The 22,924-nt window shown below is 48.0% G+C and overlaps 1 protein-coding gene across 29 annotated transcripts in view, besides 3 other annotated features; it reads right to left on the bottom strand.

Annotated features, from left to right (window-relative positions):
- Nucleotides 1-22,924, bottom strand: part of APBA2 (amyloid beta precursor protein binding family A member 2) — a 232,342-nt gene that overhangs the window by 189,017 nt on the left and 20,401 nt on the right. For 10 of the 29 annotated variants that reach the window (NM_001379685.1, XM_011521489.3, XM_047432416.1 and 7 more), the window contains one exon: nt 7,550-7,659. The gene's annotated coding sequence lies outside the window, so the exon portion shown is untranslated. Of the gene's footprint in view, nt 1-7,403; nt 7,663-8,992; nt 9,103-9,811; nt 9,875-22,924 lie in introns of those variants that run through there. The other 19 variants (XM_011521490.3, XM_047432425.1, XM_024449909.2 and 16 more) reach the window with 7 other exon arrangements.
- Nucleotides 9,902-10,491: an enhancer, noted in NCBI's record as "H3K4me1 hESC enhancer chr15:29211011-29211600 (GRCh37/hg19 assembly coordinates)". NCBI's record gives its function as "activates a minimal SCP1, AML or CMV promoter by ChIP-STARR-seq in naive H9 embryonic stem cells {active_cell/tissue: H9 hESC(naive)}" and the evidence as "EXISTENCE:reporter gene assay evidence [ECO:0000049][PMID:30033119]".
- Nucleotides 10,659-11,181: an enhancer, noted in NCBI's record as "H3K27ac-H3K4me1 hESC enhancer chr15:29210321-29210843 (GRCh37/hg19 assembly coordinates)". NCBI's record gives its function as "activates a minimal SCP1, AML or CMV promoter by ChIP-STARR-seq in primed H9 embryonic stem cells {active_cell/tissue: H9 hESC(primed)}" and the evidence as "EXISTENCE:reporter gene assay evidence [ECO:0000049][PMID:30033119]".
- Nucleotides 10,699-10,993: a silencer, noted in NCBI's record as "tiled region #8321; K562 Repressive non-DNase unmatched - State 12:CtcfO". NCBI's record gives its function as "represses a minimal TATA promoter and a strong SV40 promoter by Sharpr-MPRA in K562 cells {active_cell/tissue: K562}" and the evidence as "EXISTENCE:reporter gene assay evidence [ECO:0000049][PMID:27701403]".

The following is a 22,924-nucleotide window of genomic DNA, read 5'->3' as shown; positions in this document are numbered from 1 at the left end:
ATTCATTCAGAATGTGCCAGGCTGTCTTGTGGGTGCAAGGACGCAAGGGAACACTGACACTCCAGTTCCCTGGAGCTTATGTCCTAATTAGGAAGACAGATGACAACTGAGTAAACCATCAAATAACAAACATGATTCCCGGTTAGGGTAACAGGAAAATCAAAGCAGGGGAAGGATTGGAGTTTCCGCTCCAACACGTAAAGAACTTGGAAGTCATCACTCCCATCCTCATGACTAGAAAATGGTGCACAAACTGAAAATCAATGACCTTCTTTGGACTCATCAGTGAATTGAGTTTGCAACCCGCCCCCCTGAAATCTAGAGACACAGCCAAATCCAAAGATCCACTGACCTGGAACAGAGCCTCCAGGGCCATACCACAGTAGTTTGGGTAATTCTGACAAATTGCTGCAGGCCAAGGGTGGACTCCCATGACTGAGAAACTCCTAGAAGCCACAGTCTTAGGGGGGCCCAAAACTTTCATGGGCTTTTCCTCCAGGATCCCTACTAGGTTCTCACCATGAAAACCCAAGAGACATCTCCTGGTGACTCTGGCAGAGGGAGGACAAACGTCATCCTGGTGAAATGCATCCAGAGCCTTCTCTAGGACAAAGGCCTGCTCCCCGCAGGGAAAGACTTTACCAGAACCTTGTTGCAAAGCCACGGAGGAAGGGCATTCCTGAGTCCAGCCCCCTCTGGCCTCCTGTTTGGGGTCTGGAAAAGCTATATAAGAAGAAACATCTGTGACAGTCACAGCCCAGGGAAATGGGACCACAGAAAGACTGAGATGTAATCAGAAGACTATAGACCGCTGGCCCTCCCCACACCCTACAACTACACCAACAGGACTCCAGTGTACAACAGCAGGTGAAAGCTGGGAGAGCTGCACGACACTCACTCTGTCTGAGGAAGGGAATTTAGGGAAGCCCAGAGCCAGAGGACAAAAACAAGGGCACTGCAAGGATCGGAATACGCCGGCACTCACAGCTACAACAAACATTACACGTAGCCCATAGCCAGATTAACAGAAAACCTCACGTTAAAGGCCTGTTTACCTCAGTTCCCATCACCCTATACATCATATCTAGCTTCAAATAACTTACAAGGCATGCTAGAAGACAAAAAGGACAACATGTTTCTTTTTTTTTTTTTTTTTAGATGGAGTCTCGCTCTGTTGCCCAGGCTGGAGTACAGTGGAGTGATCTCGGCTCACTGCAAGTTCCGCCTCCCAGGTTCACGTCATTCTCCTGCCCCAGCCTCTCGAGTAGCTGGGACTACAGGTGCCCGCCATCACGCCTGGCTAATTTTGTATTTTTAATAGAGACAGGGGTTTCTCCATGTTGGTCAGATTGGTCTCAAACACCCGACCTCAGGTGATCCGCCCGCCTCGGCCTCCCAAAGTGCTGGGATTACAGGTGTGAGCCACCGCGCCCAGCCCAAAAGGAACCTATTAACAGAAATGAAGAATGCCTTTGACGGGCTCATCAACATGGCTGAAAATAATCAGCCTGAAGACAGGTCAACAAGAACTTCTCAAAATGAAACACACATGCACACAAAGAATGGTGGGAAGACCGGGCACAGCGGCTCATGCCTGTAATCCCAGCACTTTGGGAGGCTGAGGCGGGGGGATCACCTGAGCTCACAAGTTGAAGATCAGCCTGGGCAACATGGCAAAGTCCCACCTCTACAAAAAAATAAAAATAAAAAAATAATAATAATGGGTTGGGGAGGGGAACAGAACAAAGTATCCAAGAACTGTGGAACAACATCAAAGATGTTACACGTGTAACTGGAATACCAAAAGGGAACAAAAGAGACAATGGAGAAGAAAATCATTTGAGGTAATGATGGCCAAAATATTTTCAAAATTAATGACAGATCCAAGCCACAGACCATGGAGGCTCAAAGAACACCAAATAGAGTAAATACTAAGAACAAAACAAAACAAAAAAAAAACAAAAAGCAAAATACCCTACACCTAGGCACACCATATTTGAACTACAGAAAACCAAAGACAGAGAAAATGACTAAGGCAAATGACCAGCGGGGTAGGGAAACACCTTATCTATAGAGGGGTAAAGATAAGAATTACAGCCCACTTCTCATCAGAAACCAGTAAAGGAAGAAGAGGGTGGATAGGCCAGGTGCGGTGGCTCACGTCTGTAATCCCAGCACTTGGGGAGGCTGAGGCAGGCAGATGATTTGAGGTCAGGAGTTCGAGACCAGCCACGGACAACATGGTAAAACCCCATCTCTGCTAAAAATACAAAAATTAGCCAGGCATGGTGGCTGGCGCCTGTAATCTCAGCTACTCAGGAGGCTGAGGCAGGAGAATGGCATGAACCCGGGAGGCAGAGCTTGCAGTGAGCCGAGATAGCACCACTGCACTCCAGCCTGGGCAACAGAGCGAGACTCTGTCTCAAAAAAAAAAAAAAAAAGAGAGAGAGAGAGAGTGGAGTGAAATCCTTAAAATTTTGAAAGAAGAAACCACCAACCTAGCATTCTATGTTCAGAAAAAGTATCCTTCAAAAATGAAGGAGAAATAGTTTATCAGGCAAACAAAACCAAGGGAATTCATTACTGGCAATATATACCCTGAAATAAACGTTAAAAGATTTTTCTTCATACAGAAGAAAAATTATATAGGTTGAAAACTTGGATCTACATAAAAAAGAGGTATTCAAAAAGGAATAAATGACAGTGAAATAAAATTTTCTATTTTCCTTACTCTTATTTGATATAAAAATAAATTTATTTACTGCAATAATGGTAACGATATACTGTATGATTATGACATATGGATAATTGAAATAATTAACAGCAATGTCACAAGGGACAGGAAGGAGGATTTGGGAGTATTCTGTTATAAGGTAGTTGTACTAAATGGGAGGAGGTATAGTGTTATTTGAAGGTGGGCTTAGATTATTTTGAAATACATATTGTAAACATATATTGTAAAACTTTTAAAAAGAAGTATGAGTGATACACTATGAAAGGAGATAAAATGGCATCACATAAAATGGTCCATTGAAACCAGAGGAGAGAGAAAAAGAAGTCTCTGGCAAGTACAGAAGACAGTTACTAAAAAGTTTGATATTAATCTAAGTACCTCAATAATCATTTAAATGTGAATGATCAAAACACACCCATTGAAACAGAGATTTTCAGAGTGGATAAAAAACACAAGTCTCAACTCTATGCTATCTACAAGATATCTACTTTAAATGCAGAGACACTGGTAGGTTAAAAGTAAAGGGATAGAGAAAGGTATACCATGCTAACTCTAATCAAAGTAAGTTGGAGTACCATTATTAATTTCAGACAAAGCAGACTACCAACCAAGGAAAATTATCAGGGATAAAGAGGCGACATTACATAATGAGAGAAAAATCAATTTTTAAGAGGATGTTACAATCCTTAAAGGCTATGCACCTAACAACAGATAATTGAAATATATGGGGCAAAATCTGAGAGAATTTTAATTCTAAATGAGAAATTGGTAAATCCACTATTATAAGTGGAGACTTCAAGACCTGTCAGTAATTGATAGAACAAGCAGACAGAAAATCAACAAGGACAGTTCACTTGAATAGCATCATAAATCAACTCAACAGAATTGACATTTATAGAATATTCCATCCAACTACAGCAAAATACACATTCTTCTCAAGCTTGCACAGAACATTCACAAAGATAGACCACATTCTGAGCTATGAAGTACACCTTAACAAGTATTTTAAAAATAGAAATCATAAAAATATGTTCTCAGACTACAATAGAATTAAACTAAAAATCAGTAAAAGGAAGATAGATTTCACTGGTGAATTCTACCAAACATTTAAGGGAGAAATTACACCAATTCTTTACAACCTATTCCAGAAATTGGAAAAGAAGAAACACTTCCTCACTTTATGAAGCTGGAATTATCCTAACATCAAAACCAAAGAAATTATAAGAAAATGACATACCACTGCCTCTCAGGAGCAAACAACTTAAAAATCCACAACAAATTATTAGCAAATCAAATCTAACAACGTTTAAAAAGAATTATACACTACAACCAAGTGGTATTTTTTCCAAGGCTGCAATGTTGGTTCAACATTAGAAAAATCAATGGATATAATCTACCACATCAACAGACTAAAGAGACAAAATCATATGATCAGATCAATTGATGCAGAAAAAGCATCTGACAAAAATCCAACAACCATTTCTGATTAAAAACCACTCACTAAATGAGGCAGAGACCATCTTCAGCTTGATAAAGAACATCTACCAAAAAACCTATTCAGGAAATGCCAATAAACAGTCAGACCCCACTTCCCACCCATAGACTGGCCATCATGAAACAAAGAAACAAAAAACAGAAACTAACAAGTGTTGGCTAGGATGGGGGAAAATGAGAATCCTCATTCAGTGCTGGCGGGAATGTAAAACGGTGCAGCTGTGGTGGAAAACAGTTTGGCAGTTCCTGGAAAAGTGAAACAGAGTCACCACAGAACGCAACAATTCCACTCCTAAATACATACACAAAAGAGTTGAAAACAGATACCGAATCTAACACTATCCACACACACTCACAGCTGCATTATTCCTGACAGTCAAAAGGTGGAAACTACCCAAACGCCCATCAAATGAAGGCACAAACAAATGTGGTGTATCTGCAGAATGCAATATTGTTCAGCCTTAGAAAGGACTGAAGTTCTGACACATGTTGCAACATGGGTCATCCACATAAACTTCATGCTAAGCCAAAGAAGCCAGAAAGAAAAGGTCACAAATTATATGATGTCTAATTTATGGGAAACATTCAGAATATGTAAGTCCATGGAGACAGAAAGCAGATTGGGGTTGCCAGAGACTGGGGTAGGGAGGCTGGGGAGTGACTGCTTAATGGAGAGTTCCTCTCTGGGATGAAGAAAACTTGTTGGAACTAGACACAGATAGTGGGTGCCCAACACTGCAAATGCACTACATGTTACTGAATTACACACTTTCAACTGGTTAATGGCTAATGTTATATGAATTTTACCCACTTTTTTAAAAAAAAAACCTACAGATGACATCATATCTCATCATGAGAAACTGGGCATTTTCCTCCTGAGGTTGAGAACAAGGAGGGGAGAGGGAAAGCAACAGCACCAGGGCTGCCAGCACTCGGGAAGGCAAGGACTGAAGTCCTGTGTTGAGTCTGTCCTCGTGGGACACTGTCACAGCAGGGCAACGGGGCAGGGGGCCCACTAGAACAGGCTTAAGGGTGGCCAGGTTGACCGCTGGCTTTTAGAGGTGGGGTCACAGCCTTTCTGCATCTTCTCTTGAAATCACTCAAAACCAACAAAGAATGAGAAATGAAAACTGCACCTGCAAATCTTGCCAGACGAAGTGCTGAGGCAGCACAGGGATGAGGAGCCCCGGGGGGGCGGTGGAGGCAGAGAAGCCTTTTCATGCCCAGCCTCACGGCCCACCTCTAAAACCCCAAAAGGCCCAAGCACTGAGACACCAGCACAAAAAGGGAGTGAGGCAGAAAGCAGGGGGCTACTCAATAGTCTAAACAGGGAGCAGTCAGACTCCCAGCCACTCAGAGGAGGACTATCCTGACCCCTGAGCAGGGATGCCCTGGCAAAAGGGCACCACGTGTTCCATATGAGAAGAGGGCAGGGAACATGGTGACACCAGTGAGCACCTGTCTGCTGAGCGCTGAGGCCCCTCCCCCCACCCCACACCTCCCCCAGACTCAGCACCCACCCCCAGGGCAGGAGGCTAGAGAAACGGAACTCTCTCAGGTCTGGGGATGCTTGTTCCTGCATCATGAGGCAGCCTATCCTGACTGATACACACTGCATAAGGGTTCACCTAAATGATGACATAACTCTATATATCAGAGTTAGGGTTAGGGTTAGATGGAGCAGCTCTCAGGAGGGAAATCTACGAGTTCAACCATCTTGACCACAACAGAAGACTAAGAAATAGCAGCGTGCCCATATTCTTTACAAATGTGGAGATAAATCCAGAGGAAGAAGCAATAAGAGCTGGAAGTGGTAATCTATGGGGAGTGGGCAGGGCAGGGGCGGTGGGGAGATGGTCTGGGAGGCCAGGGGTCTGCTATTTTTTTCATAAAACTTATAAAACTCTTTGACATCTTAAAATATGCATATGTATCAGGCTGACAATATAAAAACTGTGTCTGAAAAGTAGACCAAGCCTTTGAGGTGCAAAGGGGACAAGGATGGGTGGTCTGAGTAAGCATTCCAAGGCACAGGCCAGTCCTAGCTGCCTGGTTTCCCCAGCGTCCTGCACAGGGCGTGGTGTGGTGACTGAGGTGTGGCTGAGGCCCTGAATTCCAGTTCTACCACATGGGCAACAACCTCAGTTCTCTCACCTCTAGTGACCATTAGGGGAGTGACCGTGGCTTCCTCAGCACGGTGCATGGTGCATGTGGGATAAATCCTGCTGTGCCTGCTTCTAAGGTCTCACCGAATACCTGAAGGACCTGCAGTGTTCTGGGTTGAGAGGCAGGAACAGGACAGGCTGGGCAGGTTAGGATGTCTCCTGAGAGAGGGTGTGGAGCAGGATGGTGCTGAGCCAGCTCCTGGGAACAGGGTCTGGGTTACAGATCGAAACCATGGGGAGGCCAGTGGGAGCAGGGTCATCGAGGGAGAGCAGTGTGTCAGAACAGGCAGGTGGAATGTGGCTCAGACGGCCCACTAAAGGACAGAGCATGGCTGTGACACAGCTGTGGCCCCATTGTGCACTGCACTGAGATATTCCACTGGGCACAGAGCTCCTGCGGGACAATGGCTGGCTGTAGAAGATGCTCCCACCTCTGCAGGAGGGGCTGAGCTGCTCCCACAACCAGACCCTGCAGGCAGCTCGAGAACATGTCCTGCACAATCGCCTTGTGGGGACTAACTGTGGTGGCCACCAGTGTCTTGGGCTGCCCTGCTGCTGCCCCTGGGGAGGGCCCTGCCCACACTGGTGGTGCCTGGGACTGGCTACCTGGGTCAAGGCAAGCAGCCTGGGGTGCTGAGCAATTTAGGAATTGTTATTGCCAGGTCGAGCGGAAAGAACCTGCCCACTTTCTGCCAGCCCCTCCTCCTGGGTCCCTGGGAAGAACTGACCACCGGGATGCCCCCAGCCTATGTGCACCCCATGGGGAAGGGAGGCTGCCCAAGAAAGCAGCACAGCTCCACCAGGAGGACAGAGGCACTCAGTGCAGCTGGGAAAAGGGACCTGGGGCACTCCAGGGACAGGATCTCCGAGGTGAGACTGACAGGGTTACAGGGAATGCACAGTCTTCTCCTAGCAACTGGTCCCCTGTAAATGTCTGTTCTTCCCCTTTCGCCTCAAAATAAATGTAAGCGTATGTGAAGTTTGTGAAAGCAGAAAGCAAAAATATTTACCGTAGCTGTGTTTAAGCTTTTATTAGAGAAAGGTGAGGGCCATCGTGGCTATAACTCTTCTTACGGCCCCCAATTAGCACATCAGCCCAGACTCATTCATGAATGCCACATTAAGTGCAGTGGGGATCATAACGGGTTCTACTCACTCAGAATCTCCAGACACAAGAAGAGGCTCACCCCGTCTGTCCACAGGACAGTCCTGGCCTATTGGTGGTTTGTCCACAGGAGATTCAGCAACGCGTAAATATTCAGGAGACTGTAAAGAAAAAGAACACAAACAAATGAAGCGTCAACCAGCTGAGAAAGGAAACCACTTATTCACCCACAGAGGGGCAGGTGTGGATGGCAACGATGGGCCACACGCTCATATGGGAGGCTAACAGCTCCCTCCCCAGAACCTCTAGAGCAGCTGGAACTCCAAGGCTCTCCAGAGCAGCTGAATATCTGAAAAACCAAGCGTCACAAGTTGACCGTGATTCTCCCCCAAGTCTTCAAGTGAACCTTCGTGTTTATTTCCAAAGGTCAGTGAGTATGGACAACTAATGATTTCGGGCCACAGGTAGCAGAGCTGCATGCTAAGCTTGTGGGGAGTACATTTTTCAATGTAGGAAGATTTTGTAGGAAGATAAGGGAAATCTCGTGCCATTAATATTTCAGGTTTCATTTGCTCTGACAGGAAATGAAACACATTCATCAGGGTTCTGTTCCCAACTTGTTTTTTCAAAGTACAAAATGCTGCCTGAGATACAGAGCTTGTGGCATAGAGCATGCCACACCTAGTAGGCTGGGGGATGTTCTACCAAATACACTAAACAAACCCCCTGCAGAGAAAGGGTGATGGTGCCCACGTGCTGGTGCCCAGAGAAGCCATCAGATTAGCCAGTGACACTGTTTCTCCTTGAGATGCAGGTGGCCATCAGCGCTCAGCCAGCACCCCTTACTGATCAGCACCATCTGCCTGGACTTCGCACAGAACTGAGCTGCAGAGATAGACGTCCTAGCTCTGCCACTGACATCCTGAGAAGACTATGTAACCTGCCTGTGCCTCAGTTTCCTTATTATGAAGGATGATGGCAGCACTGAGATATGGGGGTTCAGGCTCCAGCTCCAGCACCTGCTCCCAACCCCTCTCACCCTCATCTTCCTACCACACCAAACGAGGGAGCTGACAGCCATTCCTTAAGAGGTTCCTCCAGCTTTAACATCCACGGCTGCTGCCTTCCAACTTGATACTTCCTCTAATCTGTGTTTCCTGCCTGGGAGCAGGCCACCCAGCTGGAGGCCTCCTAAACCCAAACATTTATTCCCACTCCACGGGCCCACTCTGATACTGAAGCACAAGAAGGAGTAGTGTCCATTTTGGGGAAACCCAGGCCAAACCCCACCTGCCTGCTCCTACCGTGGTGTGGGCATGAAAGGCACACCAAGAGCCAGGGACTCTAATGGGGCCCAGGGAGGCACAGTTCTGCATGACAAGGCCATTGCCTCCAAGTCATGGCATGCAAAGCACCTGAGGTCCTGGGCCTAGACCCTGCCCATGGCTTCCTTGCCCCATCACACCCCAAATCCCTGTGCCATCTGTGCCTCACCTCTTCTGTGCCCATGTTTAAATCTTTTTGTTGCTGTTGTTCCTCTAGAATCTTCCTGGCAAACTCCTATTCATTCTTCAAAACCCAGCTGGTGCAGGCATCTCTGAATTCTAGGGGAAATCACACTCTTCTCAGCCCTGTCTTCTTTCTGCAGTCCTCACAATCATTCGTGACCACTTCTCCCATTCCCTCTCAGGCTCCTACCTGGCCCCGAGAGGGCACACAGTTTATAGACTGCACATGATGCTGCTGGCCAGTAAACCCTCAAAAGCAGCCTTAAAGAAGGAAGATAAATGAAAGCAAATGCAAAGGCCGAGGAGGGGCCTCTGCTGGGTGAGGAGGGAGCATCGGGCTGGGAGTCAAAGACATCGGGCTACAGAGGAAGCAAGCTGCCACAGAACATGCCACTGTCGCCACACGGAGCACCCACAGCCATGCTCAAGCCCATTCTTATCCCACGGACAAACGGGGCCTCCAGATGTTTCGGACTGAGGAGGGGGTTATCACATCAATATGGATCAGGATGACCTGGGGGAGCGGGGCTCATCTGGGAGCCCCCAGAAAGGAAATGCAGAGGTTGCCCTCAGGGCCAAAAGTACACAGCCCTTCTGGGACAAGACAGCTGCAGGATGCTCACTGAGTCCCCGCTGCAGGGTGTGCTGATGAAGCTGTTCAGGAGACACAGGGAAAGAGCTCCTCCCTGACCTCTGCCTCCTCTGGGAAGAACCAGCCCTGCATACTGAGCCAGAGAAAGCCTGGCCTGCCCAGCTGTGCCCCTGCCGGCCCCCACAGCACGCCACACTGCAAAACCACCGTTACCTGCCACGGGGCCGGGGGCTGCCACCTGCCACATGTTCCTGAAGCTAAGCATACAGCCGGTTTGACCCGGAGCAGAGGGGCAGTGATGCGGCACCCAGGAACCAGGAAGTCAGCGGTTGTTCATTCTCCCTCCGTTCAACAACCGCGGGCGGGGCTCAGGCTCCTGGCTTTCTGTGTGTCGCAGTGCCCAGCAGATGACTCTCCCTGCAGGGCGTGTGTGGCATCCTGCCTCCTTCCCTTGACTCGGCCTCTCCCCCTGCCCACCCAGGTAAAAGGTTCGCAAGGAAGTGCAGAACACTCCAGCAACTCTCAGATAATCCCCACAACCGGCCGGGCGCAGTGGCTCACGCCTGTAATCCCAACATTTTGGGAGGCCTAGGTGGGCGGATCACGAGGTCAGGAGATTGAGACCATCTTTGCTAACATGGTGAAACCTCGTTTCTACTAAAAAACGCAAAAAATTAGCCGGGCGTGGTGGCGGGCGCCTGTAGTCCCAGCTACTCCGGAGGCTGAGGCAGGAGAATGGCGTGAACCCTGGAGGCGGAGCTTGCAGTGAGCCAAGATAGCGCCACTGCACTCCAGCCTGGGAGACAGAGCGCGACTCCGTCTACAAAAAAAAAAAAATAATAATCCCCACAATTAACTGGCAAGCGGCCCTGCCCAGCCTCGCAGTGAGTGGGCGGGACAGGAACGTTCGCTCGGTGATGTGGGCAACAACCCCAAGCAGGACGCCAAGCGACCGGTCGCCCGCTCTCCAGCTGCCATGGCGACACCAGGCCCAGCAGTAGCCTCTGCAGCCCCCTCCAACCGGGATCCTGCATAGGCCCCGCTGCAACCACCCCCAGCCCCACCCCCACCCCCAACCCCACCACACCCACACGCATCAGGCACTCCTTTAAAATACATCCCGCCCGAGTGTTCCCACAATGACGCGGACGCCAGGGGGCGACCAAAGGGAAGGCTGGTGGAGAAGAGCACCGGGATTCCTCCTTGCAGTGGGGGAAGCCATCTGCTTCACCTCTCCCACCTGGGAGTCCTGCTTCCTCCAAGGACAGGGACTCGGGGCCTGGAGGGGGCGTTGCGCATCAAGGCTGCTCCTGTGTCCCTCTCCCTTCAGGAGTGAGCCACGCCTCCTTTCATGAGTTCTCCCTGTGTGCCAGTTGGCCAGGTGGCCATTCCAAAATAAAGAAGGGGCTTGGCTGCCGAGGGCAGTGGCCTGGGTTGAGACCCGGCTCTGTCACTGACCGGCTCCGTGGCGCCAGGAACGCTTCTGCACCTCCCTGTGCCTTTTCCCTCACCCACGGAGACCGCAGGCAACGCTGCAAAACTCAAAGCAGACCACCTCAGCCTGCAGGCCTTCCCTTCCCGCCGAGCCTATGCCTCCCAAGTGCTCAGCAAACACTCGCGGTGATTCTTATCCCTATCTGGGCAGAATCCTCGGGGACCGACTGGGGGCAGCTTCCTTGCCCCACAGTGGCATCTAAGCAGCAGGCAGCTGAGCTGGGGTAGGCAGGTGAAAGGAGCAAGGGAGGCTGCTGAGACCAGAAAGGAGCAGAATGGGGCGGGGGCAGGATGCAGTGAGTGCTGCTCCCCAGAGACCAGCTGGCCCCCAGTACCCCTGCCCCACGCCACAGTAAGCCGGGGTGCAAAAGGATGTGACAAAAAGTTCTCCTCAAAACAAGAGTCAGCTAATAAGACAAAAAGCAACTAACGATCTACTAAAACAAAGACATGGTAGCTGAGTCATTCCCCATTTGTCAAAACTCATAAAATATACAACATGAAGAGTGAACCCCAATATGTTTTAACTATGGGCTCCAGTTAATAATAATACTGCCCCATCAATGGTAACGAATGTACCACACCAATGTAAGATGTTAATAATGAGGAAACAGGGGAAATGGGGTGAGGGTGTACAGGAGAACTCCCTAAACTTTCTGCTCAATTTCTCCATAAACCTAAAACTGCTGAAAAAAAAATTAAATCTATTAATTTTTTAATATGGTGGTTGATTCATTCAAAAGGCTAAATGTGAGAATGGGATACCATTAAACGGCCAATGGGTAAAGGGAAGATGGGGCTACAGGATTCTCCCAGAATGCAGTGCAAGCCGGACCCTAGGAAGGAGCCCTGGAGGGGAGCAGGTTTCTCCTGAAGCTGGTGAGGGCCATCAGGCTCTGGGTACCATCTCAACCCCCCTCATCACAGTCCCTCTCTCTCCAAATTGAGGAGTGTTCATGAGAATTCTCAGGATTTTAGTTATTTACCGTCTTTCCCCAGTACTGCTTTCCTGGGGGTTTGGAGGGAGGGCAGGGAGGATGGAAACAGGAAAGGAAACGTTAGTAACCATGCCACCCTTTGCCCGGGTCCCTGGCTTCTCCCAGGCTGCCACATTTCCCACCTCATGGCCTCAGAGAGTCCCCCTCTCTCTATTCAGCTGTTGGCAGAGAATTGCTTTTTTGCTAGCTTTCCCTTTTTTTGAGAAGTGTATTTCTTTAGAATGAAGCCTTTCAGAAAGGCAATTCAGCATTCTCTATCGAAAATTTAAATAGGCATATCCTTGTGCCCAAAAATTCCATTTCCAGGAGGACTCACATGTATAAAAAATGATGTCTGAAGATTTTCATTGCCGCAATCTTTTAAAAAACTGGAAACCTAAGTACCCATAAATAAGAGAATGGTTAAATAAATGACGACAGAGTTCACGTGCTGGAAGAGTCAACGGCGTTTTTAAAGAGGCAGGGCAACGCGCACTACAGTGAGGGATCTTACAGGCCTGTTTTTGAGGGAAAATGGTAAGTGAGCTACAGCGAGCACACGTGTGTAGATCCCAGTTACAGGTCCGTCAAGATGGCTAGAGAATACACACACTGCCCAGCCCATACACACGTGCAAAGGCACACAGAAAGGGGAAACCCCTCAAAGGCTTGTCAGCCATGTCCTCTGGGGAGGGGAGCGGGGAGAGAGGTGGGAGAGGGAGACAGGTGGGAGCAGAGGGGGCCTGGACATTTTACTTTATTAAAGATATGTGTACTGGTTGAGTGTTTCACCAAAATGCATCTAATATTCAGCAGCAATATAATCAAACCCACCTGTGTGCCTTTGAAGGTCTCCTCTTCTAGCTGGGGAGATGTCGGCACTGAGACAAAACGACCTGTGGGGAAGGGTAGACTGCAAGGGGAGGAAGCAGGACTTCCCAAACGGGCCGCCACTCTGGGCATCAGGAGAGGTGGCGAACAGGCTGGTCTCCCCCAGGAAGGCACCCACGGGAGCAGAGGAGCCAGCCTCCCACAAGACCAGGACGTAAGCACGCCCCAGGGCACAGCCAGAGACACCCAAAACACAGGAGGCGGTGCTGACCCAAAGGAGGGCAGGACCAGGGAATGTGCCGGCCAGGACAGCCGGGGGTGCGCAGGCGGGGGCAGTATTAATTTGGGGAAAACAATCATTCAGTTTCATTCGATGAGTAGTTTACGTGCAAATGTGTGTGGCGGGGGTGTGTGCTGTGTGCGTCAGATACAGAGTATGTGATGTGGTGGGTAGTGAGTGTGTGGTGTGTATGTGGTAACTGTGTAGTATGGTGTGGGTGTGTGGTGCATGTGTGTATGGTGGGGGGTGTCCTGGAGGGTGTGGTGTGTGGTGTGTGCTATGTATGGTGTGTGGTATGTGGTGTGTGTGATGTGAATGTGTTGTGTGTGTGGTGTGTGTGTGGAGTGTAATGTAGTGTGGAAGAGTTGAGTGTGTGTGTTTTGTGTGCATGGTGTAGTGTGTGTGGTATATGGTATGTATGGGGTGTGTGGTGTGTATGGGATGTGCATGGTGTGTGTATATATGCTATTGTGTGGTATGTGTATAGTGTGTGTGGTGTGTATAAGATGTCTGTGTGGAATGCGGTGTGTGGTATGGGTGCTGTGATATGTATATAGAGTATGGTGTGATGTGTGTATGGTGTCTATGGGGTGTGTGTGGTGTGTGGTATGTATGGAGGGGTGTGGTGTGTATGGGGTGTGTATGTATGGTATTATGTGGTGTGTGTGGTATGTATACGGTGTGTATGGTATGTGTGTGGTGTGTATAGGGTGAATGTGTGGTGTGTGAGGTGGGCATGGTGTGTGTGAGGTGTGTGTGGTATGTGTGGCATGTGTTTGGTGTGTATGGGATATGTGTATGGTGTGTGGTGTGTGGTGTATATGGGGTATGTGTGTGGTGTGTGGTGTGTATGGGCTATGTGTGTGGTGTGTGGTATATATGGGGTATGTGTGGTATGTGGTGTGTATGCGCTATGTGTGTGGTGTGTGGTATATATGGGGTATGTATGTGGTGTGTGGTGTGTATGGGTATGTGTGTGGTATATATGGGTTAAGTGTGTGGTGTGTGTGAGGTGGGTATGGTATGTTTGTGGTGTGTGGTGTATATGGGGTATGTGTGTGGTGTGTGTGAGGTAGGCATGGTATGTGTGTGGTGTGTGTGGTGTGTGTGAGGTGGGTATGATATGTGTGTGGCGTGTATGGGGTATGCGTGTGGTGTGTGTGAGGTGGGCATGGTATGTGTGTGGTGTGTATTATGCACACACATGCACACCTGTGCACTGCAGATAACAGGCAGGCCGGCAGCCCGGGACACACAGCGATGACGACCTCAGCCAAGGCCAGGCTCAGTTGGCGAGTGGCCAGGCCCCCATCAGCTCAGAACCCTGAATGCACGAAGAGTCCAGGAGGAAAGAACGAGCTGTGTCCCCATCTCCACCCAAAGCAGCTCTCACAAAGGGGCTGATCAGGGTCGTGCAGCCCAGGAATCCTGGGGAAGATATTTTCTGTAACTTTTCCTGGGCAGGGGAGGTCCGGGGTGCGCGGGCAGGACCAGTCCCTTATGGGCTGTGCAGCTGAGCGGGGCAGCAGGACCCGGGACATGCACTGCACGGGAGGAGGAGCAGCTTGTAGCACAGCCACCTGAGCTGCAATCTGGGTGGAATATCCAGCCGCACTCTCAGGCCCCATGGGCGTCACAGAAGAACAAAGGCACTCCAAAAGGAAGCCATGTGCAAGATGGCCCCAAACCCCCAGCCATCCTTCAAACTTCTGCAATTCTGAATCCTTCATAGATGAAGGTCAAATAGACAGTATTTTTGTATATACAGATCTTCTTCCAAAACCTGCTTTCCCTTCAAAAGTCACCTAATACCATTATGCTCTCATACACCAGGCTCGGAGGTGAGCTGCTTCCCCAAGGTCTACACCGCAAAGCAGCCCCTGTGAGGGCCCCTGGGATGAGCAGGGGGAGCCTGACCACTCCCCTCTCCTCTCTCAACTGCAGCACCAATGGAAAGTGCAAGGAGAACATTTCTGACCCTTCCATTAGGAAACATGTTCGCAGAATTAAAAAGCAAATAAGTCATTTTCAGACTAGACACAATAGAAGACTAAAATATTTTTTAAAAACCCAATGTTTCACCTCAAGGACTTCCACTTGGAGGGAGAAATAGCCTGCAGTTGGCATAATTATCCAGGGCCCCAGTGTTCCTAGAGGGGTGTGCGTGAGTGTACCCCACTGGCCCGCAGCCTGTCACTGCAGCCCAGGACAGGAGGCTCTAGGGAGGGGCCGAAGCTACTCACTGACCCAGATGTCAGACCAGAGCAAGGACTATTCATGAAATAGAATCTACCAAACTGGCTTCAAAGTCACCGAATACAATGAAAGAAACTCGGTGACTGTAAGCTACAACTAGTAGAATTTTTTTTAATTTAAATAAGTGCTAACGTTCTAAAGACGGTGAGACCCACAAGTGGGGGCTCCCCTTGTCTCATGTGCTGCTATGGCACCAACCCCTAAGCCAGCACCAGCACATCCTGGGGCACCGCCAAGGATTTCCTGAATCCATTCAGACACTGCTGTGGAAAGACTGGAGGTCAGCAGACTGTCCCTTTCTACCTCCTGGTGGTGGACTACAGGAAGTAGACAGGCACAGATCCCAGGACAGCTTCCCAGGGAGTGGCTTGCAAACCTGGGCCCAGAGGATTGAAGTCAGAGACCCTAGGATCCTGGGGGAAGGGACAGGAGGTAGTACTGTGGCCTGACAGGTCCCGGAGCTGGAACAAGGCGGCAGGTGCAGTGGTGGGCACGGGCCACTGCTGAGCAGCCTGGTGGTCGCAGCAAGGTGTGAAAGGGCACCAGGCCTCCAGATGCTGCCCCGCCTGCTCCTCGAGCTACTGTGAGGACAAACCCAGCTGACAGATGGGAAGGCCCTGGTGTCACACACAATCAGCAAGGATCCCTGTATCAGGAGGGGTGGCACATGCTTTCACCTCAGCTACTGAGCAGCCTGACCCAAGCCAACCCCTTTTGGCCCAGAAGTTTTTGCACTCAATCCTTGCCCATCTGCGACGGACACAAACTGTAGTGCAGACACATGCTGCTTTATATACGACAAAACGCAATGGTCCCTGTCCCAGATAGTGCAGATGCGTGAAAATAACTAGAATACTAGAATGCAAGCTCCTTGGAGCAACAAAGCCCTCTGGCTCGCCCACCGCAGTGCCTAGCACACAGCAGGTATTCAACAGGTATTTGCTGAATGATGAATGAATGGATCAATGGATGTCTTTAGAACCTTTTCCTTATAAACATTTAAATGTGTGCTTTCAAAGTGAATATACAAACAAGGTACTCAAGGTATCTGCAAGTAAAACACCTAGGGAAAAAGAACAAAATAATCAAAATCAGGAGACATTAGGGTCCTCCTCTGACATCTCTGCAGCCTGGAGGATTGCTCAATAACAGTAGTGGGGTGCCTGCCAGAAATGAGGCCAGCTCCTCTCCTGCCTCCAGGGAACCTGAAGAGTAAAGAACAGACACAACCTCTGGAGGGTGCTGGGCTATGTCCCCAGGCCTAAGCTGTAACATCCTGTAACAACCAGGCAGCCATCAGGACTCCCCAGCCTGAACCGCGCTCACCCTGATGCTCCAGGAGATAAGTAGCCAACAGCTAGAGCTTGGGGCTTTTATGAGCTCCTTGCCTTAGCAATGCTGTCTGGGACTGGATGTGGTACCCAAATACAAGATCCAGTCCTGATCATCTCCCTTGCATATTCTAAAACTCCTCCTCAGTGAGGCCACAGTTTCTACATTTCAGATTTCAAAGCACAAAAGGATAGATCTTTGAATAACCCACATGTCCTAATCCATAGTATATTCCCAGAAACACAAAGTCTCTCCTCTGGCCCTTCCTTGAAATGGCCTGACTCTTACATGTCACAAAATGGATGGGAAGTAGCATCTCCATGACCCAAAATATGAAAACTGGAAACACTTCCTGGCCTTCCAAATAGCAATAAAAATTATTTAATATAATTTCATATTAAGCCCATTTAATAGAAGTCAAAATATCTCAAGCACGTATGCTATTAGAGGGAACTGATATGAAACTAAAAATTCAAACAGATACAGCAACATAAATAAAAATGAAAAAGTGAAAAAAAATCACTTCATTGCTATATAGGATTTCCGAAGATGATGCTCTTGAAATCGCTTTTAAAACAATATGTTCCAACTTCCCACTAATCCAAATTACTCTAGTGACGTCTGGCTTCAGCAGCTCACTGCAAATATGCAGCCTCATTATTTTACTTGGAATGGTAATAGCGAGGAAGCATCTATTTCCATCCCTCCATCACTAAAGCTAACATAAACCTATAATCTGCACTGAAACTGTTCCACTTCTGATTAGAATCAGAAACACTTCCAGATGGGCTCAGCACAGCCAAGGGGGGACTGTCCTACAAGGCCACGGTGTAGGGGTGGCAAAGGAATCATGGCAGCAACTACCTTTTGTTTTTTAAAATGTGAAACATTTCTGAATGGCTTAAGCAACATCTATTTAATTTAAAAGCTCTATTGAGATGAACAAAGAAAAAGAACACATGCTCAGCTCCAGAGACATGTAAATGAGATTGGGGGACAAAAGGAAGTGCATTAATTCCCTCCACAACCCCTGAAGAGCAGCGGTGGGTCTGAGCATCTTATCTCCACGAAGCAGGCCAGCAGGCAAGCCAGCTGCCACCTCGTTCACCCTGTGCAAACCACAGGCTCCGTCCCCAAAAGCAGGCAAATGACTATCTTATTTGTTCAGGGGAAGCAAAATGGTCCAGGGTTGGTAGCCGAGTTTTCTTCCCAACAAGACCTAACCGCTGTCATCTTTCTCTGGGACCCAGCCTCACTGAATAGAGTGAAAGGTGGCCAGCAGAACCCAAACTGTTCTGCCACAGGCTCCTCCCCACAGAGCACAGCTCAGTGCAACAGAGTCCCCAAATCCAAGATGCAGAATCCACGAAGAGAAAACCTTCTGCTCCAGAAGGTACTTACAGGAAGTCAAAATAGTCAAAATTAAAATCACATCTTCTTATGGTTCTTTTTTCTAACAAAATCCATTATTTCTTACTGCAAAACCTAGAAGATGTTTACTATTTATAACCAGAAATAGTTTCTCACAAAACAACCATAAAATGTAAATTATTCAGTGACCCATCTCTCTGGAAAAGAATAACACCGTATGAAATTGAGGTACTGCCCCAAAAATCAAGACGATGGGCCCTGAAACTCTAAATATTTGAATTTTTAAATAACTTCATATCAAGCCCATTTAACAGAAACTATGTCAAGCAGACACACTATTAGAACTGATATGAAAATAAAATTTCAAACTGACACGGCTGTATCAAAAAGAAATGAAAAGAGAAAAATCTCTTCATTGCCTTTTAGGATTTCCAAAGATGATGTTAAGCCCAGACATGGTTCTGATCTCCAGGAAAGCAATTGCTGTGGTACAAAAGGACAAGGGTTAAAAGAGAACGGTGGGAGCTCTCTTTCCCAACTAACCCAGGCGGTGTGACGCAGAGACTTTCGGCACAGCCCAGGGTGCCCAGGACTGAAAACTCCTTCACCACCCCCTCCATGGGTGGGAAATACTCGGATCTTCATTCCTGTGACACAAGACCTTGAAAGTTGCTGAAAAATGCTGGTCCCATCTGACTGGGGCAGCATTTTCATTTATTGCACACCATTAAGATTTTGGCAGGAATCATTGTGCTAGATACCATTATCCCACCAATCACTGAGCACTTTTCATTTCCTGCCCCTGGTGCTGTTGGATACCTTACGGCAAGCTGCCGTCCCTGCCCACCCACCTGAGGACAGAAACCTCCAACCCTGCTTTGCCAGGAAAACTGACCAGCATGTCTGACAGATGGTCAGTCCTTTGCTGTACATGGCCCTAAAAAAAGGAGACAATTCTTTTACTCAGACCAAAGTAAGCAAATGCTGAAAGTGCTTATAATGAAACATCACATTCCCCAATCTGGACTTCCCCACTCCGCTGGCCATCCTTGTCATTATTTCTGATTTTAATTCTACCGGTGGCTGTTTTCCACCTCTCTAAATAATGTTTAAACTCTCTTTCTGGGTATACCAACTTCGGATAATATTTATTGGCATCCCATTATGAGAGGTGAGTTTTGCAAGCCACGACCTCCCCGGCTCTGGTACAAGTGACCAGAGGATCGCACCAGCTACTGCAGTCACGCAGAGGGGCTTTCCATTCTTAGCAAGAGCACTGGGATAAAAGAGATCCTTCTAAGAGCTTCCACCTAACTCTGGGAACACAGAAGCATCCTTTAGAAGCCCTGTGGTCACACGGCCTTCAGGATGGATACAGGCTCTTTTCTTAGCTTTACAAAGCCCCGGATAGGCTGGCACTAACGTGGCATGTTGCTGCTGCACTTTGGGGGCAGGAACTGGCTCCTGCTCCAGTTTGCATCCTCTGTGCCCAGCACCTGTGCCCAGCACCTGTGCCCAGCATCCAGCTCGATGCAGGATGAGTAGGTAGCTTTGGCCTGTCCACCCAACCCTCACAGAGGCGACCAAGATCAAGTCCTCATTGGCTTCTTGGATTCTTTCTACTGTGTGAGATATTCTCGATGTCTGAGGGATGAACCACAAACAAAACATGGTCTATCCATACAATGGGGGCAGTAGTCAGCCCTAAGAAGGAAGGAAGTTCTGACGCATGCTACAACACAGATGGGCCTTGAGGGCGTCACGCGAAGTGAAAGAAGCCAGTTGGAAAAAGATAAATGATTGTATGATTCCACTCACATGCGGCACCTGGAATCGTCAAATTCACAGAGACAGAATGTAGAATGGTGGTTGCTGGGCGCGGTGGCTCAAGCCTGTAATCCCAGCACTTTGGGAGGCCGAGGCGGGCGGATCACGAGGTCAGGAGATTGAGACCATCCTGGCTAACACGGTGAAACCCCATCTCTACTAAAAATACAAAAAAAAAATTAGCCAGGCATGGTGGCGGGCGCCTGTAGCCCCAGCTACTTGGGAGGCTGAGGTAGGAGAATGGCGTGAACCTAGCAGGCGGAGCTTGCTGTGAGCCGAGATTGCACCACTGCACTCCAGCCTGGGCAACAGAGCAAGACAGTGTCTCAAAAAAAAAAAAAAAAAAGGAAGTAAAATGGTGGCTGCCGGGGGCTGGGGGAGGTGGAAGGAGGAGTTAGTGTTTAATGGACACAGAATTTCAGATTGCAAGATGAAGAAAGTTCTGGAGATGGATGACGGTGATGGTTGCACAACACTGAGTGTATTTAATGCCATAGAATCATATACTTAAAAGTATTTCAGGTGGTAAATGTCATGTTATGTGTTATTTATCACAATTTTTAAAAACTAGAAATATTAAGATATCCTTGATGTCAGATGCCAGGAGAGCGGTGTCAGGCATCTCACCAGCCGATTCTCTCAGAATGTTTCCTCTATTGCATAACCAGGAGCCTGAGGTATCCCAAAGAAAAGCCCCAGTGTAAAATCAACAATAACCTCAGTGGGCCTGGTGCAGTGGCTCACGCCTGTAATCCCAGCACTTTGACAGGCGGAGGCGGGTGGATCACGAGGTCAGGAGATCGAGACCATCTGGCTAACATGGTGAAACCCCATCTCCACTAAAAATACAAAAAATTAGCTGGGCATGGTGGCGGGCGCCTGTAGTCCCAGGTACTTGGGAGGCTGAGGCAGGAGAATGGCGTGAACCTGGGAGGCGGAGCTTGCAGTGAGCCGAGATTGCGCCACTGTACTCCAGCCTGGGCGACAGAGCAAGACTCTGTCTCAAAAAAAAAAAAACAAGAAAACAAAACAAACAAAAACAACAATAACCTCAGTGGAGTGGCTCCATCAGGGAGTGACAGGGGCGTGACTTACTATTGGAGGACAAGGCAGGAGTCAGGGAAGATGGCCCACGCCTGCTTTGAACTGTAAGGAGCATGCAAAACCTCTTATCCAGGCCCACAGGGCTGCCTGTCTACACCACAAACAGCTCAGGGACAACGGCTCGGGAAAACCCCAGGGTCCAGCCAGGTCACGGGCACAGGCCTGCACTCACGGGGTACTTCACAGAGGACAGAGGTGCACTGCAAATGCGTAAGAGGATATTTTCACCAATGGTAAAGTGGATTTTTAAATAACATTAAGGTTTTTAAACAGATTTTAGAAACGAAAGGGTTCCCCCTGTATATGTCAAGAACCTGAGTTTCTTTCTGAAACTTGGGCAGGCCCCTTTAAGTTGGTTCAAATAGAAAATACACCAGCAGCAGCCACTCCCCTGGGGAAAGGCAGACTTTATGGCTGAAAGGGTCGCCCAAGCGCTCCTGGTTTTCAGCATCACACAGAGTGGCTCAGGTGCCCATTCATTTTATGAGTCAGCCCAGGGAGAGTCCCCACAGATTCGGAGTCATATCTATGATGGGACGCAAGCTCTACACTTCCCAAGCATTGATCCTGAGGTTGATCAATCCTGAGCATTGATGTCTGCAAAAACAAATCACTTAGGTGCAGAGACACCGCAATGACCATCCCGCTGGGGGCTCCCGCCTGATTCCTTCCACATCCTGGCCAACAGCTCTGGCCAACTGGGGAGCCCACGGACAGCTGCTCTGCCTGGCTCCTGCTGAAAGGATGATTCTAGTCAAAGGAATATAGAAGAAAGGTTAGGGGGAAAATGAAAAAAGAAGAGGAATGAAGAGGTAATGGCCCTTTAAGATAACAAAGTCTTACCAAAAGCCACAGTAACTTGTACGGTAGATATCGGCACAAGAATAAAGCAGTAAATTAGAATGGAGAATCCAGAAACACAGGAGAAACACTCAGAACACAGCAGCAACTTAACCCATGACAAATCTGCCAAAAGAGAGAGGTCAAAGTGGCTGACTAGGAAATTAGGCTGGAAAACTGAATACTCCTATAAAAAAACTACATCCCCAACTCACACTACATCTAAAATACATTTTAGATTGAATAAGAGATGTAAATGTAGAAAAATCTGGACTATCAAGTATTAGCAGAACATGCAGGAGGGTGCTTATATATATTAGGGTAGAGAAACCCTTTCTCTAAGTAAGATACAAAACTCAGGGTAAATAAAGCAAGCTTGATAGATTTAACAATGTAAAACTTCCAAATTTTTGCATTGCCAAATATGTCTTTAAATAAAATCAAAGGACAAGTGGCATCTGAGAAAAAAATATCTGCAATATATATAGCAAATGAGGAATAACCCTATGTACCAAGAACACCTATAAATCAACAACAAAAAAAACCTTCACAAGTCAAGAGGAAAAGAGGCAAGGATGAAAAAGAGAATTAGAAGGAGAAATTCAAATTAGTATTAAGCACACAAGAAGCAGCTTGTTGTCATTCACAATTTTTACAAATACAAAATGAAATAAGCTATCACTTTATACCCACATGACTGAATGAAACCACAAAGACTGATCATGTCCAGAGAGTGTCGATGTCCAGAGAGTGTCAGTGGGGACACCGCTGCCCCACACACCAGCATCATTTAAAATGGTCACCACCTGTCCAGAGAGCAACTTGGCAATATCTGTTGACACTCTGAATGCCCAAACCATTCAGCCCAGCAAGTCCACTTCTAGGAACCTATGCTACGGAAACAACCCCATGCAGACACAAGAGTTTAATGTACGAGACTCCACATGTCAGCATTTTCCATAAGTGAGAAAAATGGTAACAACCCAAAAGTTCAATAAGTAAACGGTCACATAT

Source organism: Homo sapiens, chromosome 15 (assembly GCF_000001405.40).
Source record: "Homo sapiens chromosome 15, GRCh38.p14 Primary Assembly".
Taxonomy (NCBI): domain Eukaryota; kingdom Metazoa; phylum Chordata; class Mammalia; order Primates; family Hominidae; genus Homo; species Homo sapiens.
The sequence above is the reverse complement of the archived record's forward strand: the minus strand, read 5'-3'. Positions and strand labels throughout refer to the sequence as shown.